A 22,648-nucleotide genomic window follows, 5' to 3' on the forward strand; every position below is an offset into this window, starting at 1 on the left:
AAAAAGCTTCCTTTACTCTGCAGGCCTAGAAAATTGTTACAGAAGTGTACCTTGGACAATCAGTCACTTTGAAAAGAAAGTCTCCTTTCTCAAATGAGCTTAAAAATCACCTCTCTGGGGCCAATTTATACTTCATTTTTACCATGACAGAGACCAGAACTTTGATTCTGGCTATGAAAATTTTTCTTAAATCTAATGCAGAGGATGGAAATTGGCACAACAGTATAGAATTTTATACTAATTAAGGCCTCGGACAAAAACTCTGGGCCCATGCAAGGGAAGAAAGTTCTAATTGGCCAATTCTTTGGAGGACTCTTCTAAAGTAAAAAGAGGGAAAGAGGGAAAAAAGAGATGGAGACGGGGGGTGCAATCAACTCAAAAACAATATTCCGAAATCCTCAGAATAAACATTAATAAGAAAAAATATAAAAATAAAAACAAAAGTAAAAGTAATTTTAATTCAAAAACTTTATACCAAAGAGTCACATTTAACAATCACCTTCATTCATCTTAGGCCCTTGCTCACCTGGAGTTCCTCAGAGAATTAAGTCCTCATACTACTCTAGGGCATCCATTGCATATTAATTAAGTTCTCTCCTTGGCATCTAGGATATTCAGGTATGCACCATCCTTGGAAGAACTAAGAAAGAGTGACTTAAACAATTTTCAGTTTTTGTAAAATGAGGAACTCAATCTAAATCTTCAATATAAATAATTTCTTGTAACAACTCCCTCAAAATACATTCTCTTTCTCTCTCTCCTCCACCACCCCCCTGTGTGTGGGGGGTGTCTGTCTCTCTCTCTCTCAAACACACACACACACACCTACACACACACACACACACACACACACACAGACTAAATAAGGCACACTCCCCTTCAGTTCAGGAACTTGGAATTCTGTCTCTTTCTATTCTCACTCTTCTTTAAGGTTTCATCTGCCCAGAAACCTCTCCTGACCTCTCTGAGCTGTTTTACACGCTCTCTGTGCTCCCTGTCCCCCATGGCACCTTTTGCTCACTTCTATTTTTTGCACTCATTGTTGCATTATAATCAACTGTGGATTGTTCCTTTTTCCCCTTCATTGATTTCAAGAAAAGCACCTTAGTATTTTTAAACGCCAAATGCCTAATTTAGTTTCTAAACTAAGAGGTCCTCTATAAAACAGATTGATTTAAACCAATTTTATCTATGACACCAGCCTAAAATTATTTAATGAAAGCAGAAGCCATCATTTTGTTTGATATTCTAAATGCTAAATATCTTTATTATCTATCAAAATGGCTATCAAACTCTATTCCACAGAATGTCAAGATTCCTTGAAAGAATCTATGGCCATCTTCTACACATATTTGTTCAATAAATATTGAATGAACGAACAGATGAATGAGTAAAAAATATAGAAGGAGATATGAAAAATAGCATAATTGATCCAAAGTGTTTGAAATCCTTTTCTGAAAGAATTTGAGAGTATAAATGAGTATAAACAAGGAAAACTTCTTTACTTCATTTTTGTAGTTTAATTGCTTTGTTGTTTTTCATTACAAACTTGTAATTTATAATTTCCCATAATATTTTTGTCTAATAAGACTTTAAGCTCATTCAGAGCTTGGACCATGTTATAGATTATTTAATATCCTGAGAGCTCTAAACCTAACACTTAGTGCAGAGCAGGTGCTTAAGAAATTCACTAAGGCAGAATTACATTGAAATAAATATTAATTCATTTTTAAAAATGACATTGAATAGCTTCACATATAAAGAGTATTTTGCATAAATTATATCTTCAAATCATACTTGCTATTTTGATCATTACAAATAATGCCACATTTAGAAAGTATAAGTACCAGTATTATGAAATTTTTAATTGTTTCCAATACATTGTATTATTTAACATTCTTCCATTAACTTTTTTAAATAAAGGAGACAAAATTGACTGGAAAAGTAATACAATTTTAAGAAAGGCAAAATGGCTTTTAATGAGTAACACTTCAACTGTCAGGTTAGGAAATTTTGTCTTAACTGGAAGCAGGGGAGCAATTTTTAAGAGGCTTTTAAATAATGTTTTGCACAAAATATGTACTTACATTCAGAAGAACCAGAAAAGTTCATTTGGCACCAACATTTCACCTAAAATCCATAAAAACATCAGTTAGCTCTATAGAAATCATAGCACACTTTACTTTCTGAGAACACAGATCTAGAACCACCAAATCCATTTACTACCTAGCTAACCTTGGGAAGGCACTTAATCTCTTGGTGTCTCTATAGTTTCCCCACCTCTAAAATGGGGATAATAAAACCTGCCTCCTAGAATTATTGTGAAAATTAACTGGGATAATATGTTTTAACACATTTAGAAGTGACTAGCCCATAATATGCACACGTAGATGTTAGTAATCAATATCATAGAAGGGACATGCCATCTGAAAACTATTTTTGTATCTAATAGAAGATTAAATTCAGAGGAAAAGAGGATTTTATCATAGGAGGTTCACTGTTATTTTTCCCCAAATGCTTATTTCTCACTTCCTGTACTCTGCAAGGCTGTCTTATCTATGAACCAGGAAAACTTGAGAATAAAAATTGGAATGGAAGATTTTATTTCATGAAATCCCGACAAAAAATTATTCCTAAACATTTATAAAGAAGAAAACGATGGGAAAGCAAAACACAACCAAAATCAAAAAGAAGATCTGCTTAGGACAGAGCATAGAAGAAAAAAATCCATCAAGGTCCACCTCTCCTCCCCAGAGCCCTCCCTGCTGCACTCTCAGGTCAGCATCCAGGCACAGAGCATCCATCTGGAAGCCCACACTTCACAATCCAGCACTGAAACCAGATGGCATGACACGAAGACTCCATTTCTGAGTGCAAAGAATTTTGTAAGTTGAACAGTGAAACCTTCTGAGGAAGCACAACTCCCTACAGAATTTCACACACCCAAGTTTCTGACCCACAGGTCAAAGAAAGTCTCTAAAAATCTGCCATCTTGGTGCACATACTGCACATTTGGTCTCATTCCCAGAACACCCTGGAGAAGCACTGGGCATGACAGTTGCCACAGTAAAAGAAGTTAGCCAGGAAATGGGGAGTAAATATGGAAAGGTTACAGCACAGTATCTCACTGTACACTGGAAAGCTCTAGACAAAGGGATTCTTTCATTAATAAACTTTTTACTGAGAGTTCATCTTTGATGCATAGCATATCCTAGGTAGCATGCAGAGGTGAACAGGCAACCTCTGCCATCACGGCCCTTAGATTCCAGATGAGGGAAGAAACTAGGCTACTAAGTAAATGTATAATATAGCATCACAGCACATGGTGGTTGGTTGTGTCATTCTGAAGATTAAGGGAAGACATAATGTGAAAATAGTGTAGCTTCAGTAGTCAGGGTTTAGAGCTGAGACCACCTAGTAAGTTCATACAAATACAGCAAAGAAAGGGTGGCACTGAAGGAGGGAAATCAGCAGAGAATGTGTCTCAAATGTGAGCAAGCAGCTTTTTGAATAGGGATAGTCCTATTGATATGGTTTAGCTGCATCCCCACAAAATCTCATCTTGAACTATAGTCCCCACATGTCAAGGGTGGGACCAGGTGGAGGTAATCTGATCGTCAGGGTGGTTTCCCCCGATGCTGTTCTTGTGATACTGTGTCTCACAAGATCTGATGGTTTTATAAGCATCGGGCATTTCCCCTGCTTGTACTCATTCTCTCTCCTGCCACCCTGTGAAGAGGTGCCTTCTGTTATTATTGTAAGTTTCCTGAGGCTACCCCAGCCATGTGGAACCCTGAGTCAATTAAACCTCTTTTCTTTATAAATTACCCAGTCTTGGGTATTTCTTCATAGCAGCATGAGAACGGACTAATACACCTATAATCTTTATGTCTGAGCCAAAGTGCCTGGTCAGGCACGAAGCAGCCCTCAATCCATGCTTATTGGATGAATCCATTTCATAAACCCAATCTAAATCATAAGCTTCTTCAAGATCTTCCTGCCCACCAAACACTGAAAAGCATTGAATACATTTTTAATGAATGGCAGCTGGAACACCATTTGGGCATCCCAAATTACGGCCCCCCGCCCAAAAAAAAATGTGCAAAAGTTTTGACTACTAAAAGTTGAGATACCTAAGCTTTCTCTTTCTCATGAGAGAGAAAAAGCTGTCTACCTCACTGGTATATTCACTGTATTCTGTGTCTTGGGTTTTCTTAGTAAGAAATGGAACTGAGATTTCAATCCAGGGAGTCAGATTCCAAAAGCATGACTGAAAAACAACATTAGTAGTAACAAGGTATCTGAGGGAATCTTGTGCCTAAAAAAATAAATATTTAGCCCCAATAAATCAATCAACTCCTTGAAATGCTATGCCCTTGGACATAATGATTTTGCAGCAGTAAGTAAAATATAGGTATATTTAATAAGTAGCTATAAATACTCTCTACACCCTAAACTAAATGATACTGTGTAGCCATAAGAAGCTTGCTTAGCTGAGAAGAAAAAATAACTTTAAAATTTAACAGGGCCTGCAGCAGAATCAAAGACAGCATTAATACTTGAGAAGCCGCTGGCATGACGGGTAAACACTGGCATCAAAGCCAATTCAAAGTAGGTCAAGTGCTGGTGGGGCTGGCCTTGTGCCCCATTGTTGGAGCCATCAACATGCCCGGCACACACCTTGTAAAGGAACACTGTGTCACTAACAGGCAGGTACAAATCCAAGAAGAGAGAAACAGGGCAACCACGCTGCACAGACTCCAGTTGCCTCCAAACTTCAGAGGAGAATGCCCATAAACGGGAACTGAACAAGTGTATCCAGGAAACCAGATTGATGGGAGATTATCAGTAAGGTCTCCTGCAGTCTCTTGACCATCTGTGGTAGGAGAAATTGGTATAGGCAATGCTTTCTTAACAACACAACCAGCCTGCCCCAGGGAGACATCTCAGGGAAATGTTCCATTTGAACTAGTATGTTCTGTCCTAATTAAAAGATGTTTCCAGCAAATCCCTTTGTGGTTCTTCTCATGTAAAGGAAAATAAAACCCAGGGGAGCTGCCTGGCTTCCTCTTCCAAGCAATGGCTACTTGTAACAGTGAGCCTGCCTCCTTTGGACTATGAAGTAAGTTTCATTCGGCATGTTATAGTATATACAGCACTTTCACCTACATTAGGATGTTTCATCTTTCTGATAACCCCATGAAGTTATTTCTAGCTCCACTTTATAAAGAAACTGAGGCCCCAAAATGAGCTAACATGGACCAGAACTCAGATCGGGATCAACCCTTCCTCTTACCAAAGATAATCCTCATGGCCATGTTGATTAAAAATTGTAATAATTTAAGAATTCAAACCAGTTTTATTGTCACTATAGGAAAATCAGCTGACTACTTTTCCTATCCACAAGTTAGGCTAGACTGTGCAGGAACCTCAGAGGAGCAATCATGAAGGAGAGAAGAGAAAGATTTGAGGTAAAGCTTGACAACCCCTAAGAACCACAGCAGAAAACAGAGACAAATTGTGAACCACGAGAAACTGGAACAAACCTCCTCAACATGAATTTGATTTGGCACGGGGCCTCTGACCCTTTCAGATTCAATCTCTGAAGGTCTGAAGGTTCTCTTTGTATTTTTCCATTTTACTTCCTGCTCACTACTTCTCCATCCAAATGAGTCCCTGGTGTTTGATTGTAGTGATTTACCTAAAACTGGCAATAAAAGGTGTTTATGTGCCATATCATTTAGTATATAAAGAACAGTCAGTTATTAGAATTACTAAGAGAGTGCTGATTTCTAGAGCAGTAAGGTGTGAATTCCCTGTAGGGAGCTGCCATTTGCAACCATCCAGGCCAATGAAGCAAAATTTGGGGAGGGGAGTGAGTATTACCTCAATAAAGCAACTCAAAATTGGAATAAACCTACACAAAGTCAAAGCTAAATCCATGAAACTGAATCAGAGCATACTGCATTTGCTTGCCCAGAGAGCGCTAATGAATACACAACCGGACTTTCATGGTGTAAAATTTCACCAGTGCTTTTAAAACAGTAGCAAAACATCTAGTGAATCTCAGAGGAACATCTGGCACAGGATGGGGTGAAAGGGCCACCACAGCTCATTCTGGAATTCTACCTGAGGTCATGCTGAGTTGTAAACAATGAAGTCATGTTCACAGAAAAACTTGGTAAAAGTTAGCAGTGGACAGATGAAATTGGGGGCTTTTTGAAAAGTTGGATAGGCATCTCAATATTGCCATCAATTAGAGGGTCAATGCTAATATCAGTAAGATTTAAAAATCACAATGCAATACTTAAGTCAGTTCTGAAATTCAGCAAGGACTTAAGATTTCTACTGTTTCAAAGAGAAGTTATCTAATGTGAAAACAAGCCATGGCAACAAAAATAACAGAAATGTTGATAGAAACAAAATATAGTTCTCTTCTCAAAAGGCAAGGTTCCCAATACTTTTCAATTTTTTTTTTTTTTTTTTTTGAGATGGAGTCTAGCTCTGTCGCCCAGGCTGGAGTGCAATGGCGTGATCTCGGCTCACTGCAACCTCTGCCTCCTGGGTTCAAGCAATTCTCCTGCCTCAGCCTCCTGAGTAGCTGGGACTAAGGTGCACACCACCACACCCGGCTAATTTTTGTATTTTTGGTGGCCAGGCTGGTCTCGATCTCCTGACCTTATGAGCCACCCGCCTTGGCCTCCCAGTGTGCTGGGATTACAGGTGTGAACCACTGTGCCCGGCCCTACTTTTGAAAATTTTTCATCGGAAAATAACTACTATAAAAATGAAACAGTCAATACTACCTTGTTCAATCCTCTACATGCCCAGCTCCTTAAATTTAGCTCAAACCTTACCTATGCTGCTGCTCCTTCTTCCCTGAATTACCTCCTATAACCCTTATCTCCTCACTCAACTGATTGTTTGAGTCACTCTTTAAAAAATAATAATGCCTTGCTTAGGACGCTCCCAGTCTCTAATGGGCCGAAGCCATATTTTCTAAGGGCCTGGTAAAATAACTTACATGTGGTTTAGTGTTTGAAACGTGTGGACTGTAGATCAAACTGCTTTTATTTTTAACCACAAGGAAATGAAATAAAGATTACAGAGGAACCAGAAGCTTTTGGATTTAGGTTGAAACATTGCTAAGTCAAAATGATGCTTTTTATCCAAAGTCTGCATGTCAGAATGACATTCTCATCTATGATCTACAATTACAGATGTTTGGAGAAACCAAACTACGTTATGATTCCTTTGCCATTCTTGTTCATTTTATTCCCTAAAATATACTAAACTCACTTTCAAATTTAGCATGTTGATCATTGAGATCATGATTTTTTATGGTTTCAAAAACTTCAGGTGTGTTAGAGTCACAGTCCATTCACTTTTGTTGTGTGTGACAAGGTCTCACTCTGTCACCCAGGCTGGAGTGCAGTGACAGGATCATAGCTAACTCCAGCTGTGAACTTCTGAGTTCAAGGGATCCTCCCATCTTAGCCTCCTGAATAGCAGTCCCCGGCTAATTTTCTTATTGTTATTTTTGTAGAGACAGGATCTCACTTTTTGCCCAGCTGGTTTCAAACCCCTAGGCTCAAGCAATCCTTCGACCTCGGCCTCCCAAAGTGCTAGGATTACAGGCAGGAGCCATCACACCTGGCTCATTGACATCTCAAGCATTTATTGAGCCTTCATTCTCTGTGCAGGAGGCTGGATAGAATGACTACTATTTGCACAGCACTTTAGCGCACTTCCCCAGACACCCTCTCCTTTGACCCTCATGGCCACTTTGAAAGGTAGGTAGAGCAGTTATCATCAGTGACATTTTACAGAGTAGGAAAATAAAAAAGAGATTCAATAACTTGGCCAATGTCACAGGATCTACTAACAATAGAAAGAGAATCTAGGCCAGGTGCAGTGGCTCACGCTTGGAATCCCAGCACTCTGGGAGGCCGAGGTGTGCAGATCACTTAAGGTCAGAAGTTCGAGACCAGCCTGGCCAACATGGTGAAACCCCCATCTCTACTAAAAATACAAAAATTGGCTGGGCACTTTGGCGCACACCTGTGATTGCAGCTACTCAGGAGGCTGAGGCAGGAGAATCGCTTGAACCTGGAAAGCGGAGGTTGCAGTGAGCCGAGATCGCACCATTGCACTCCAGCCTGGGCGACAAGAGCGAAACTCCATCTCAAAAAAAGAAAGAAAAGAAAGAGAATCCGAATCTCACTTTCCATTTTGTCTCTGAAGTGTTAAAATCCTTAAGATTTTAAGTGATTGAGTTCTAAGAATTCTAGGAATTCACGACTTTATTGTTTTCACATTGAAGATGTTTTGATTTGATAATTTATAGTGACGTTACCACTTATTGACGACTCACTTAGTGCTTCTTAGGCCTTTTGTGCTGCTGTTTGACAACATTGCTTTATCACTTTCCCTGAGCTGTCAAACATCCTGCAAACCTATTTCTTGCCATGCACATGCATGAATGCTTGACTAGATTCTGTGTGCAAAAGAAGCTAAATAATGAAACATGGCATACAAAGAAGGTCAAATGTAGCCAAACCAAATTATGCCGCATTATTTGCACACTGTCGACTCTGTTCATTTTAATTATTTTCCAACATAAATGTACAGCATAAAGGTCATTGTGGATAGGAGTCATACTCAGCAATCTCTAAAAACTGGTTTGCCTGCATTCCTCAAAAATGACAGCTACATGAAAGTTGTCAGTCTATGGGTGGAGATTGCTTCCAAAAGAAGGACAAGGAGAAAAAGAATAACATGAAGGAACAGATGAGGTTGGAGTGGATATTAACTCCTCACATCCTGGTCTTCTCTTAGTGTCCTATAACTTAAGGAGGATGGCTGTTAGTTCATCCCAGATACACAGTAGGTAATTTTTTTCCTTGTATGATCCTCTCAAAAGCTCAAGAATTCTAGAATTCCTTCAGTAGGCTTTGGCTGAATTCAATAATAAATTGTTATAGGTTTAAAGAACTATTTTTAAGTTATGAGTTACAAGATTTCTATTGAAAACAGTAATTATCAAATTCTCCTAGAGATCACTGTTTGATATTAATTAGTAATTTATACATACTAAAGGAAACATTTTTATTTGGAGAAAGCTACAAAATAATTGATTTTCCTCTGATTTGCCTTCTTCCAATTGGTAGAGTTTGAATCTATAAGATATATAACATATTCAGAAACATTAAAAACTGTGTATTTAACTATAAATAGCAGGCACTTACCACAGTACCACAATATTTTTCTTTGTTTTCTACCCTTTGACTTATGCTTAGAGAGGATAATTTATTGTCAATGCAGCCCATAAACTCCTGGCTCTACTGAAAATAAAATGAACATGACACTTTACTAAGACAACGAATCATGAAAATGTTCTGCATTGTGCTGGGCGAGGTGGCTCACACCTGTAATTGTAGCACTTTGGGAGGCTGAGGCAAGCAGATCACCTGAGGTCAGGTGTTTGAAACCAGCCTGGCCAACATGGTGAAACCCCATCTCTACTAAAAATATAAAAATTAGCTGGGCATGGTGGCGGAGGCTTATAACCCCAGCTACTTGGGAGGCTGAGCAGGAGAATCACTTGAACCTGAGGGGTGGAGGTTGCAGTGAGCCAAGATCGCACCACTTCTCTCCAGCCTGGGTGAAAGAGCGAAAATCCATCTAGAAAAAAAAATGTTCTGCCATAAAGAAAAATTCAACGGTGCTCATATTAAATAAAGAGCCAAATCATATAAGATACTTATAAATACCTAAAAATATGAGTTCAGTTTCTCTTACAAGGCCAGGAAGGTGAGTATGCATACTCTGGCTACTCATGCAGCTAAGCAAAGAACACCAATCAGGAGTTGCCCCATAATCACACATGCACAGACTTAAAAAGCCAGCCAGCAAACCAGAAGGACTGGCTGGCACCTATATGTACTAAGGTCATCCTCCCTCTGAACTCTGGAAACAATTCACCTCTCCTATGGCACTTTGGCTTTCCACCTCCTATTGGAGTGATTGGCAAACACATCTTAGGTCTTGTACTGGATTTTAAGAGCCTTGGAGGCAGGACCCATGTTTAATTCATGTCCATGTCCCCAGCACCAAGCCCAATATCTTGCCCCCAATTTGTGATGAGTGAATATTTGTTGACCATCTGAAGCCTCATATAAAGGGCTTGGGGCTCCTCTTCCAAAGCCTCTCCCAGGTTCTCACTTTTGCCAGTTGGAAGTGAGAAGAATAGAGAATCCCTGTAGTTCTACACAAATTGCAAGCATCTTTCTAAATGAAGCACGCAGTTAGATAAACGTTAAACTGTGTCTCCATTTGTTCACTCTCCACTTCTCCCTTTTCCTTATGAAGACAGAATGGAGGGCAAAAGTCCTCTTCTTCTCAAGATCTGGGTTCCTGTGGACATCAAGGAAGCCAGAAGCACTGAGTGAACAAAGAAGGATGTTTCTATGGTTCCCAGGTCTCTAAATGATTAGCAGAGTGACTCAGGCAATATTAAGTGTAGGGCTCATTTCATTTCTATTACAAATCCTCCTGTATACAAGTTTTAGAGTTTCATAGTTTATCCATGTCGTTTTCTCAAAATTGTAGACACACATGGCCAAATTCTGGTCTTTAATGCATACTCGCAGTTGCTATTACATTAATCAAGCGCTGTGTTCATGCATTTAACTACTGAATTTACTGCCATGGAATATTTCTTAACTTGACGCTACAGTGGCACCTGTCTTAAATACCGCTGAAGCAGGACAAATGGTTCCAGTACAGAAAATATCAAGAAAGAAAAAAACTAGAAACCTAAATCCATGCTCAATTATTTTAAAAACAAATTTACAATTCATCCACAGATGAAGCTGAAATTTCCCTTTTGTATTGCACTTTCCTTAGATCCTGGGAATTAAGAACAAAGACAATTGCTGAGTGTTCTGGAAAAACTCACTTTAAGTTAAGGATAGCAAAAAATTCACTTTAAGTTAAGGATAGTAAACACAGATATTGCTTATCAACCTTTTCTGCTGAATCTCAAAATTGTTCTCAACATAGTGCTCCAAGAATCCACTATTTAAAAATTTACCTTGATGATTAAGATAAAACCTCTCTGCTGCCTTTGCTCTAGATTTGATCTTAGCTTTTTTTTTTTTTGAATCAGGAACACCTGTGCAGTCTATGAACCTTGTATCCAGAAAAATTCACATATGTGAAAAACTATTCTCATACTAAAAATTTTTATACTATTTTAGGTAGTTTTTTGGCAATTCTGAAGCTTGTTGATTAATCTTTAAATCGGTCAACTCATGAGAAAAACCTCTGCGCTAGACCATGTGTTTCTAAGAAAAACCACAAAATTCGGGAAAGTCTAAATCAAGACAACTACTTGATTTCTTACTTTCTTTCTCAAATTTCCCCTCTCATTCCCTTCCCCCTGAAAATATACCTGTATACATATCCACAGAGATATCAGCGTAAACGTCTAAGATATATAGCAATTTCTTTCTAAGTGGTGACCAGTCAAAGAACAAGTCAAACTCTCCAAAAGTGGGTGAGAGTTGCTTACCAATGATATTCTCCGAGGCATCTCTCACAGTCTCATCAGAGGTGGAGGAAACCATGTGGGTGGACAACACAACATGTTTGTGATGTTACAATGGCAATTGTGAATGACCTGGTAAATATCATTCATGGATAACAAAGATCTTTTTTGTTGTTGTTTAAATGCTATCTTAAAATATTTTTAAAATGCAAAGTAAGTGTTACCCTGGATCCAGATTTATCTTTTTTTTTTTTCTTTTTGAGACGGAGTTTCGCTCTTGGTGCCCAGACTGGAGTGCAATGGCGTGATCTCGGCTCACTGCAAACTCTGCCTCCTGGGTTCAAGCAATTCTCCTGCCTCAGCCTCCCAAGTAACTGGGATTACAGGCATGCGCCACCACACCTGGCTAACTTTGTATTTTTAATAGAGACGGGGTTTCTCCATGTTGGTCAGGCTGGTCTTGAACTCCTGATCTCAGGTGATCCACCCACTTCGGTCTCCCAAAGTGTTGGGATTACAGGCATGAGCCACTGCGCCCAGCCAATTTATCGTTTAAAAGTATCATGGCCTGGCGCAGTGGCTCACACCTGTAATCCCAGCACTCTGGGAGGTCGAGGCAGACGGATCACGAGGTCAAGAGATTGAGATCATCCTGGTCAACATGGTGAAACCCCGTCTCTACTAAAAATACAAAAAATTAGTGGGGTGTGGTGGCAGGCGCGTGTAATCTCAGCTACTTGGGAGGCTGAGGCAGGAGAATTGCTTGAACCCGGGAGGCAGAGGTTGCAGCGAGCTGAGATTGCGCCATTGCACTAAAGCCTGGGCAAAAAGAGTGAAACTCCATCTCAAAAAAAAAAAAAAAAAAAAGGTATCACAAGTGCACCAAGAAAATTCAACTGTTTTCATCTTGAGACTTTCATATGACCTTGGACCATTTTCTTGACTCGTAGGTGCTAATTAATCCACTGATAATTTATAGGCTAGCAAGCAAGCTGAGGCTCTATAGACAAGCAGATGTCATACTGTCGTATTGTTAGAATGTAAACTCTGCCAAAAAGGAAAAAGCAAATATGGGTGCTCTTCCTTATTACTAGTATTTTTTTTTTTGTCATAGTGATCTATTAAGTTTCATCCCTATTAAATTTCACATAGGATGCAATACTAAGGTATAGGTTCATGTTAAAAATCTTGACACTGTTATTCATGGGATGTCCTAGATAATATTCTATCTTCCTTATTTTTCTTTCCCTTCTACTGGTGTTCCTTCTCCCTCCTCGTTCCCATTCTTTTTTGTAAATTATTCTTCGGAGCAGATGATCTTTTTGTTCATATTACATTTCAGCAAGGCAATACAAATAATAGTGTGGTAGTACAAGATTCACTATAACTACCAGATTTTCCCTGACTGCCAATCAGTTACTTACGGCCTCTTCTTCCCCTTGAAACTGTCTCCATTGCCTGCCATTACCTCAAAGGATAGATAAAAGACAACCCAGGAATTTTTAATTCAGAGGTGTTTTAAAAATTAAATGAGATTCTAGATAGATTTTGAAACAATCCCAGTAGAGAGTATAGTTTAAGGGGTTGCCATTTAAAAGAGCCAGATATTTTTGAGAAAAAGAGAGGAAAGTTTATTGAATTTATATTTATTTATATGTTTGGCTTTGACAATTCAAGAACGAAATCTAAATTAGCAGGCAAAGGTTTATACATAAGCAATAGAGTTGAAAACAAAGCAGAAAGATTAAAGGGCAGTTTGCCTGTCCAAAATGAGATAATATTGGGAGGATATGGCTTAAGAATAGACATATAGATCAGTGGAACAGAATGGAGTGTACAGAAATAAACATGTACTCATGTCCAATTGATGTTTGATAAGAGTGTCAGGTCTATTCAATGGGAAAAAGTAATCTCTTCAACAAATGATGCTGGGGCAACTGACTTTCTACATGCAAAAGGATGAAGTTGTACCTCATACAATACTCAAAAATTACACAAAACTCAAAATGGATCAACTAAATATAAGAGCTAAAATCATAAAAATTTTAGAAGAAAACATAAGGATAAATGTTCATGACCTGAATTTGGCAAAATATTCTTTGATATGACATCAAAAGCATAAGCAAAAACAACAGAAATAGGTAAATTGGACTTCCTCAAAATTAAAATACTTTTGTGCAACAAAGAAAATTATCAAGAAAATGTACACAACCCACAGAATGGGGGAAATATTTTCAAATCTTAGGTCCAATGAGTTAATATCCAGAATATTTATTAAACTCCTAAAACACAACCAAAAAAAAAAAAAAAAAAGGAAAGAAAGAGAAAGAAAAACAACCCAATTTTAAAATGGGAAAAGGACTTGAATAGATATTTCTCCAAAGAAGATATACAAAAGGCCAATAAATATATGAAAAGATGTTCAACATCCTCTGTCATTAGGGAAAGGAAAATTGAAATCACAATAAGATACTATTTCACATTTACTAGCATGGCAATAGTTTAAAAAACAGAAAACAAGTGTTAGTGAGGATATAGAGGGATTAAAAACTCTCATACATTGCTGGTGGGAATGTAAAATAGTGCAGCTGCTATGGAAAGTAGTTTGGCAGTTCCTCAAAAAGTTAAACATAGAGTTACCCTAAGACTCAGCAATTCAGTTTTAGGTACAATACCCCTGAAAACTGCAAACAGAAACTCAAACAGATACTTGTACGTTGATATTCATTGCAGCATTATTTACAATAGCCCAAAGGTAGAAACAACCCAATGGCTATCAACAGATGAATGTGTGTGTGTGTGTATGGGTTATATATCTGAGTGTGTGTATGTGTGTGTGTATATATATGGGATATATATATGAAATATTTTTCAGGTATAAAAAGGAATGAAGTTCTGATACATGCTACAACATGGATAAACCTTGAGAACATTAAGCTAGGTGAAAGAAGCCAGATAAAAAAGGACAAATATTATGATTCCATTCATATGAAATATCTAAAATAGGCAAATGTATAGATACAGAAAGGATATCAGATGCTGTTGGGTCCTAGGGTAGGAAGTAATGGGGAGTTATTGCTTGATGCCAGCAGAGTTTCTTTTCGGAGTGATGACAAGGTTTAAGAAGCCGATTGTGGTGATGCTTCCACAATAGTGTGAATATAATTAATGCCACTGAATTGAACACTAGAAAATTGTTAAAATGGCAAATATCATGTTATATAATAGTGTTGATAGCAGTGTGGTTGTGACATAGAAGACATACAGTCTGACTACTTATCCATCATCTCTCAGATGCCAGCCTGGATGGATATGAATGACCAAAGGCCAATGGAGACTGCAACTCTCCCTGGAAGCCAAAGTACATGAATGCCTACACAGTGGACCAGACTCCTCTCCCTGATGCCAAGTCCCTCTCCCCTGATGTTCTGACAATACATAATCCTTTCTCTTCTACTTTAGGAGAGGATAGAAAGGAGTGGGTGAGGCAAAACCTAAATTTAACTGAGCATCAAAAATACTCAGAAATGTTAAAAATGCAAAAAGAAAAAAAATCTAATTCTCCTCCCTGGAAAGTACTGAACCATTCCAGCATGTCTAGTTTATGCAATAAGCATTGAGCAAAGCCTAGTCTGGCAGAAGAATGTTGTAAAAGAGCTGCTAAGATTTTTTAAAAGGCAAGATCCTCACTTTTTGCTTTGTGTATAGGAATATTGTGAATAATAATACACATCTTAGTAGGCTTGTGAGGTTTTAAGAAATCAGAAAAGGACAGGGAGGGGGTCAAATTGTTCCTTCAAGAGCCAAGACTTGACTATGTCTCATTGCCAACTTGACCTTGACAATCTGGGGCTCAAAGGTGGGGCCATGACCCTGCAGAAAGGAAGGCTTTGTGGGGAGGACCAAGAGAGTCATTTGCTACCTTTCTGTAAAAGCTGCTGTTCCTCTTTTCTTTTTCCCTGTTAAGAAAGCTGTTCTTACCTTCATGTCTGAGTCACCTAGGAAACCTTGAATCAAAGGAGACCCTTCAGAACAACAGTGCTGCTAGCTAAGAAAAGAGAGAACTTTACCCAAAAACCAAGTTTCCTACCTAACACTTTAATGCCAGGAGCAGAAGATGACATGATCCCACATTCATGTACTGCTGAAACCGCCTTTGCAAAAATTATGGCAGTGAGAAAATTATGATGGTGAAAGAGATCTGATCCAACCCACCTCCAACTTGCCTTTAACTTCCAAACTGCAGTCAGTCATTCCTGAGCATGGGCCAAGTTAACTTTGGGAGAAATTGTTTATAGTTTAAATAACAGCCCTTCTCAAAAACTAAACCACCTTTGTAAAACTAAAGAAAGACCACCAGGTTAGGAGGATGAGGGGAGCTTGTATCCTGCTAAGGTGTCACCTTAAATGATTACCAGTCATTATTCCAAAAGTCGCAAGATTTACAACTTCCCCAATTACTCCTGCAGATAACATCACATATGAAGAACCTAAGATTGGCCTTTTGAGATGTCTTTTCAGATTTTTGCATTTCTCACTACCAATGGCTCCACCTGAACCTGCCAGTTGGTTCTGTGGCCCCACCCAGAAGTGAACTCAGCCCAGACAAGGACCATTTTCCATATCCTTATGATTGCACCACCAACCAATCAGCAGCACTCACTCCCTAGCAACATCCCCTCCTCGTAAGCTATCCTTGAAAAACTGTAGCCTTGGGAATTTTCAGGGAGGTTGATTTGAGGAACAATAAAACTCCAATCTCTGGTTCAGTGGGCTCTGAGTGAATTAAATTCTTTCTCTATTGCAATTCTCCTGTCTCATAAATCAGCTTTTTCTGGGCAGTGGACAAAACAAACCCACTGGGCAGTTACCCTCCCTCATACATGGGAGGACACATCTGGAGAAAAGAGATGCTGGACAGATACTTCAATTCCATTTTCTTGAGTGAATAATGCCTGAATTGGGTGGAAGGGAGTACTCACCCATGTTTTTCACAGGGAGAAAGACATTTAGCATGGAGTTAAGTGTGCAGAAATAAAATTCTGTGAAAACCAGCCATTTTCTTTTCAGCATTTTGCTCATTGTCCTACAACCTTTTACATACTGAATCACTTGGCATTTGTCTCCTTAGTGGAAAGATAGATGTATCTGAGAATATGAGCCAATTTAGTCTATAAATAGATCTTGAAACTTAGAACAAAAACAATAGTTTTGAAAGCTAAGGTGGTTTTGATTTGCAAGAATCAAGCTTTTAAAAAATAGAATAAAGTTTTTTAAGTGCCAGAAGTTTGGCTTTAAACATGAAGAGCCAAAACCCTGACAGACTTGTAAGTGGAGTTGGAAAGATGGTTGTCTCTTCAGTGCTTCCAACCTGTCAGAGAGAAAAGATTTCTGGGCTGCTGAAGAAAAATCTTTGGACATGGAAAAAAGAAATTAATTTAGTTAGCTCCATGGTTCTCCAAGAAAGAGGGTCCTGCTCTGGCCCCCTAAAAAGAGCTGAGCCTAGAGTATGGAAACATAGAAAAGCCAGGTAAGTTTGTGTGTATCTCAGAACAGAGAAGATGTGTGCCTCCCTTCCCAAAATATAGCCTGGAGAGGCTTCAGAATTCATGAAGGAGGCCCTCCATCCAGCATGGTGAGGACTAAACTCTGACCTTTTTCTTTTCTCTTACCCAAATTCCTATCTAAGGGGTCTGGGGAGTCATGTCCTACAAATCAAAAAATCTCATTAGATGGATTTTTGTGAGCCATATATAATGTGGCTTACTTTCCACCCTGACTCTAGTATAGCATCACATCACAGATAGCAGACCCTGAAGGAAATGAAAATATTTTACCCCAAAATGTATTTCTTGACATATTTTGAAATGGCTGTTGCAAGGCCAGCAGATTAAGGTAGGGGAAATTTGCATCTGTAAAGAATCTCCATTCATACAGCCATGCTTCTCTGTTCTATGACTTTCCCAGGTCTAGGAGAGACTGAGCATCTGATGCCTTCAAAAGTTTGAAAAGAAACATTTACCATCTATTCTCTGAGGGTTGCCTCTTATGAAGCTTTATCTACACAATAAGAACCCTGGTCTCCAGAACCCCATTATCTTAAATCAGGCATTCTTTTCTACTGATTTCGAATCTTTAGACAATAGCTTAACTCTGTCAACCATCAACTGACTAATCCCTAAAACCAACCTATGACTTACAAGCACACCTCCCCCCACTTTGAGATGTCCTGCGTTTTGGGGCTGAACCAATGCATATCTTCCATGTATTTATTTATGATATTACCTGCAATTCCTGTCTCCCTGAAACGTATTAAACCAAACCGTAATCTGATCACCACAAGCACACTTTCTCAGGATCTCTTGAGATTGTGTATCCCTGGCCCACGGTCACTCACAGTGTCTCAGAATAAACCTCTTTAAATATATCTTGGCAGAATTTGGTTTTTCCATCATCAGTGGCACAGGAACATTAAAATGTCCATTGTTGACTCAGCAAACTAGACGATGAGCCTGCAAGCTACAAGCTGACTAGCAAAGTCATGGGCACCACTAGAGCATTTTAAGGAAAACAGTTCGCTAGTCCTCTAAGAGGAAGTCCGTCAGGTTGAGAGTGGGTCTTGCATTTCAAGGGAGGAAACTTCAGAGCACTTGGACCTAGCAACCAGGAACATGGGAAATCAGAAACAGATCAACCAACCACAAGAACCAGAGGACATACAAAGCGGACAGAGAACGCTCACAGAGCAGATCTTCCCACTTCATTAATGCAGTGGTCCTCATATAAACCTCCTGGAACTCAAACACAACACAACTCAATAAAGACGCAATAAGGGGAAGCAAAACAAACCTTGAGTTGACAGAGTATATTGACAGATACTCGGTCATGGCTTTGACCAAGTTCACCTGGATGAGAGCAAATTTAGTTTTCTGCTATCTGATGAAAATGGTAACTCATGAAAAAAACCCTCAGATTTCATAGAAAAATTAAAATTAAGTATGGGCTTTATAAATTCAAGTTTTTACCTTTGAAATTTCCACCAATTACATGTACATTTTTTTACTTGTATTTATTTATTTATTTATTTATTTATTTAAGAGACACGGTCTCCCTGTGTTGCCCAGGCTGTTCTCAAACTCCTGGGCTCAAGCAATCCTCCCACCTCAGCCTCCCAAGTGCTGGGATTGCAGGTGTGAGCCACCATGCCCAGCCTATATGTACTTTCTAATCCTAATTATTATCTCAGCCCTGGGATTACATCTCAGATTATTTTGGTCTGCCTTTTGCAATTGTACTTGCAATCTCTTGGTTTACTTCCCCTAACAGTTAATCATATCTATTATACATTGATTTCACTAATTCAGTTTTATAAAGTGTTGCCCAAACTATAAGAGTTATCCATTGTTTGCAATTTTTGTTTAGGATTTTTTGAGTGAAGATGCTGGAAAATAGCTGAACAAAGACACCTTGTGGATAAGCAAAACCCAGGGGACAGAGAGCTCCTCCCTGGTCTACTCTTCTGCCTGCATGACTAGCCTTAAGTTTAAGGAGAGAAGCTACCATATTTGTTTTTTCTTTTTGTTTTTAAGCCTTGCAGTAGGGCCTATAACAATAAATTACATATTATAGATGCTCAATTAATAGTTAAATGTAGGCTGGGCGTGGTGGCTCACGCCTGTAATCCCAACACTTTGGGAGGCCAAGGAGGGTGGATCATTTGAGGTCAGGAGTTCAAGACCAGCCTGGTCAACATGGCAGAACCCCGTCTCTACCAAAAATACAAAAAATGGCAGGGTGTGCTGGTGAGTTCCTGTAGTCGCAGCTACTGGGGAGGCTGAGACAGGAGAATCACTGGAACCCAGGAAGTGGAGGTTGCAATGAGCCAAGATCATGCCACTGCGCTCCAGCCTGGGCGACAGAGCAAGACTCCCTCTCAAAAAAACAAAACAAAAAAAATTAAATGTAGAATTTGTGTGAAAGTAATTGAATTATTCAAATAAATTGGGACAAGTATGACTTGGTTTCACTGCTTTTTGTACTTTGTCACTCAAATAGTATGTGTGAATGATTTACCTTCTCCAAGCTCACCAAATGGGTAAATGGCTAGGTCCAGGTATGTCGGGCATCAAGCTTAAATATTGAATATAAATACAGTGTTTTCAGTGACTTTGCTAGACTCTTAATCTGCAAGTGGCTTCTATATTCTAACCATAGAATTGGTTCCTTGAAGTTCTTTTAGTCCTTGATCTCTTAAATCTTGCTGAGTCTCCTGTGATGTTGTGGATTTTGTAGTAGGTAAAAAGAGTGCACACAGCCTTTAGGGCACCTGTGTTCAAGGTCTGCTTTCCTAAGAATCTGACCTTGAGAAAGTTACTCAATCTCTTTGAGCTTTAAGTTTTTTATCTTTAAAATAAAAATAATATTACTACTTCATTAGGTTGCTGTCCACACTCGATTAAATTCAAAATTTTTTCAAGTGCTTAGCATTTTAATCTGTAAAGTACATGGCAGGACAAGCATTCAAGAGCTGGTAGCTATTGACGGTATTATGATGCAAAAATAAAATGATCAGTTGCTATTCTTTAAATGTCTCAGAGATGAAGATTTTACTTGTCCACCTTTCCTGGGTAGATGTGAAACAAAGGCATTTTTTCCTTCAGTTGTCATATATTTTGTCATATGATATACATCTACACATATCCTATATCTAAAATTGATGGGTTTTATATTCCAAATAATTATCTAAGTGTCCCTAAAGCTATTCGCTTATCATTATGCACCGTATTGTCATCGAGGAGAGTCATTAATTCAGCACACTTTTGTCTATCTCTCTGTGGACAGCACACCTTTGTCCATCTCTCTGCTATGCGTCATGGGTAAGCAGAGAGAAGCCCTGCTGTCTAGTGGCTTCAAACAAATGATCATACTAGTGAACACAGAAATATTTCAACAGGCCGAGCACGGTGGCTCACGCCTGTAATCCCAGCACTTTGGGAGGCCAAGGCGGGTGGATCACGAGGTCAGGAGATCGAGACCATCCTGGCTAACACGGTGAAACCCCGTCTCTACCAAAAGTACAAAAAATTAGCCAGGCATGGTGGCGGGCGTCTGTAGTCCCAGCTACTCGGGAGGCTGAGGCAGGAGAATGGCGTGAACTCGGGAGGCGGAGCGTGCAGTGAGCCGAGATCGCACCACTGCACTCCAGCCTGGGTGACAGAGCGAGACTCTGTCTCAAAAAAAGAAAAAAAAAAGCAATATTTCAACAAACACTAAGTGAATAAGCAAATTTAAAAACTAAACAAGTAGAAAGCATATTAGCATGTATAAGCATAGGACTCAGCAAAGGGAGGTTATCTTCTAAATAGGTCAGCCTGTAGGAAATAAAAACATCTTAACATTCTCCCAGCTGGTTTAGAAAATATGCAAGGAGCAAAACACGTGTGATTTGACTCTACTGAACTCCCTTTAATCCCTCTATTTCAGTTCCAAATACACTGTGGACATTCAAGAAACATGAAGAATAATTAAATAGACATGCTGCTATCACACTAATCATCTTGGAATAAGTGTGCATATTGGCTTTTGTATTTTTTTTTTCTGGGAAAGTGTTGAAACTATGTAAAGCATTATACCAATATGAAGCATTATTATTTTTCTTATTTCATGAAATTCAGCAATCTATATGCACATGCCAGGGGCTAAGAAAGTTTTTACATTCCAGAAACAGACACAGATGCTATTATTGCCTGCTTCTTTGCATACATATCTCTGAGGTTGGCCTCATTTCTTAAATATGGCAGCTACATAATGGCAGAGAAACTATATTAAAAGTGAAATTCATTCGATCTTCCAGATGTTCTCATTAGGTGACACCAAACCATGGAGTGATTGATTGATTAACTGAATCTTTCCTTTCTACTTGAATTTTTGGCATCATGTACCACATACTTAAATTTAATTCAACAGTTTGTAACATCAGCCTTGTATTCTTTCCACAAATTTGAGGTTATCCATACATACTAAAATAGTAGTATCAATGCCACCATTTGGTTAGATACTTGTTGAGGGCATAAAGACCATGACATATTGAAAGGCTGTATTTTTCATCTTTCTTAGTAAAGTGGTGTGTCTCTTTGGGTTAATATCTTCCTGATATTCTGGCAACCCAAACAAGAAAACTGATTCATCTTTGTCACCTCTTCCCCCCATACTCCCTGCAGTGGTTTTGGGCCCCATCCCCATTTTACCATTCTTGTATATAATTTTCTAGTTTAAAATCTCATAATCTCCATCTTGAACTTTTGCCTTGGTTTCATAATTTTAAGAAGCAGTTCACTGTAGCATTTAAGAGTACATATTCTGCGATCAGACAGGATGAAATCCAACCTGAGTCCACCACTTATTTGCTACAGAACCAGTATAGCAGTTCTCTCATCTATAAAATGAGATTAATAACAATATGTACCTTGGATAAAGAAAAGGTGGTACATTTACACCATAGAATACTATGCAGCCATACAAACAGAATGAGATCATGTCCTTTGCAGGAACATGGATGGAGCAGGAGGCCATTATCCTTAGCAAACTAATGCAGGAAAAGAAAACCTAATAGTGCGTGTTCTCACTGATAAGTAGAAGCTAAATGATGACAACTCATGGACACAAAGTGGGGAACAACAGACACTGGGGCCTACTTGAAGGTGGAGGGTGAGAGGAAGGAAAGGAGCAGAAAAAATAACTACTGGGTACTAGGCTTAGTACCTGGATGCCAAAATAATCTGTACAACAAACATCCATGACAGGAGTTTACCTATATAACGAACCTGCACACGTACCCCTGAACTTAAAATAAAAGTTAAAAAAAATAGGATCTACCTCTTAGCATTGCTGTGAGTAGTTAATATGTGTCAAATATTTAGAATGTACTTAGCAAGTAAATATAGGCAAATGGTAGCCATTAAATTATCTTCTTTTGTTGCCATTGTCCCCATTCAATCATTTCTCCAAAATGAATTCAACTATGCTTTCCAACTAAGAAACCTGTGATGACCCCTTGCTACCTATAAATAATGCCAAACTTTTCAGCTCCTTGTCTTC

At 38.8% G+C, this 22,648-nt stretch overlaps 1 long non-coding RNA gene across 1 annotated transcript in view; it reads right to left on the reverse strand.

The window, feature by feature from the left end:
- STXBP5-AS1 (STXBP5 antisense RNA 1) overlaps positions 1 to 22,648 on the reverse strand; it is a 363,227-nt gene that overhangs the window by 231,330 nt on the left and 109,249 nt on the right. The window contains exon 5 of the long non-coding RNA NR_034115.1: positions 2,088 to 2,130. This is a non-coding gene — a long non-coding RNA (STXBP5 antisense RNA 1). The remainder of the gene's footprint in view (positions 1 to 2,087; positions 2,131 to 22,648) is intronic.

Source organism: Homo sapiens, chromosome 6 (assembly GCF_000001405.40).
Source record: "Homo sapiens chromosome 6, GRCh38.p14 Primary Assembly".
Taxonomy (NCBI): domain Eukaryota; kingdom Metazoa; phylum Chordata; class Mammalia; order Primates; family Hominidae; genus Homo; species Homo sapiens.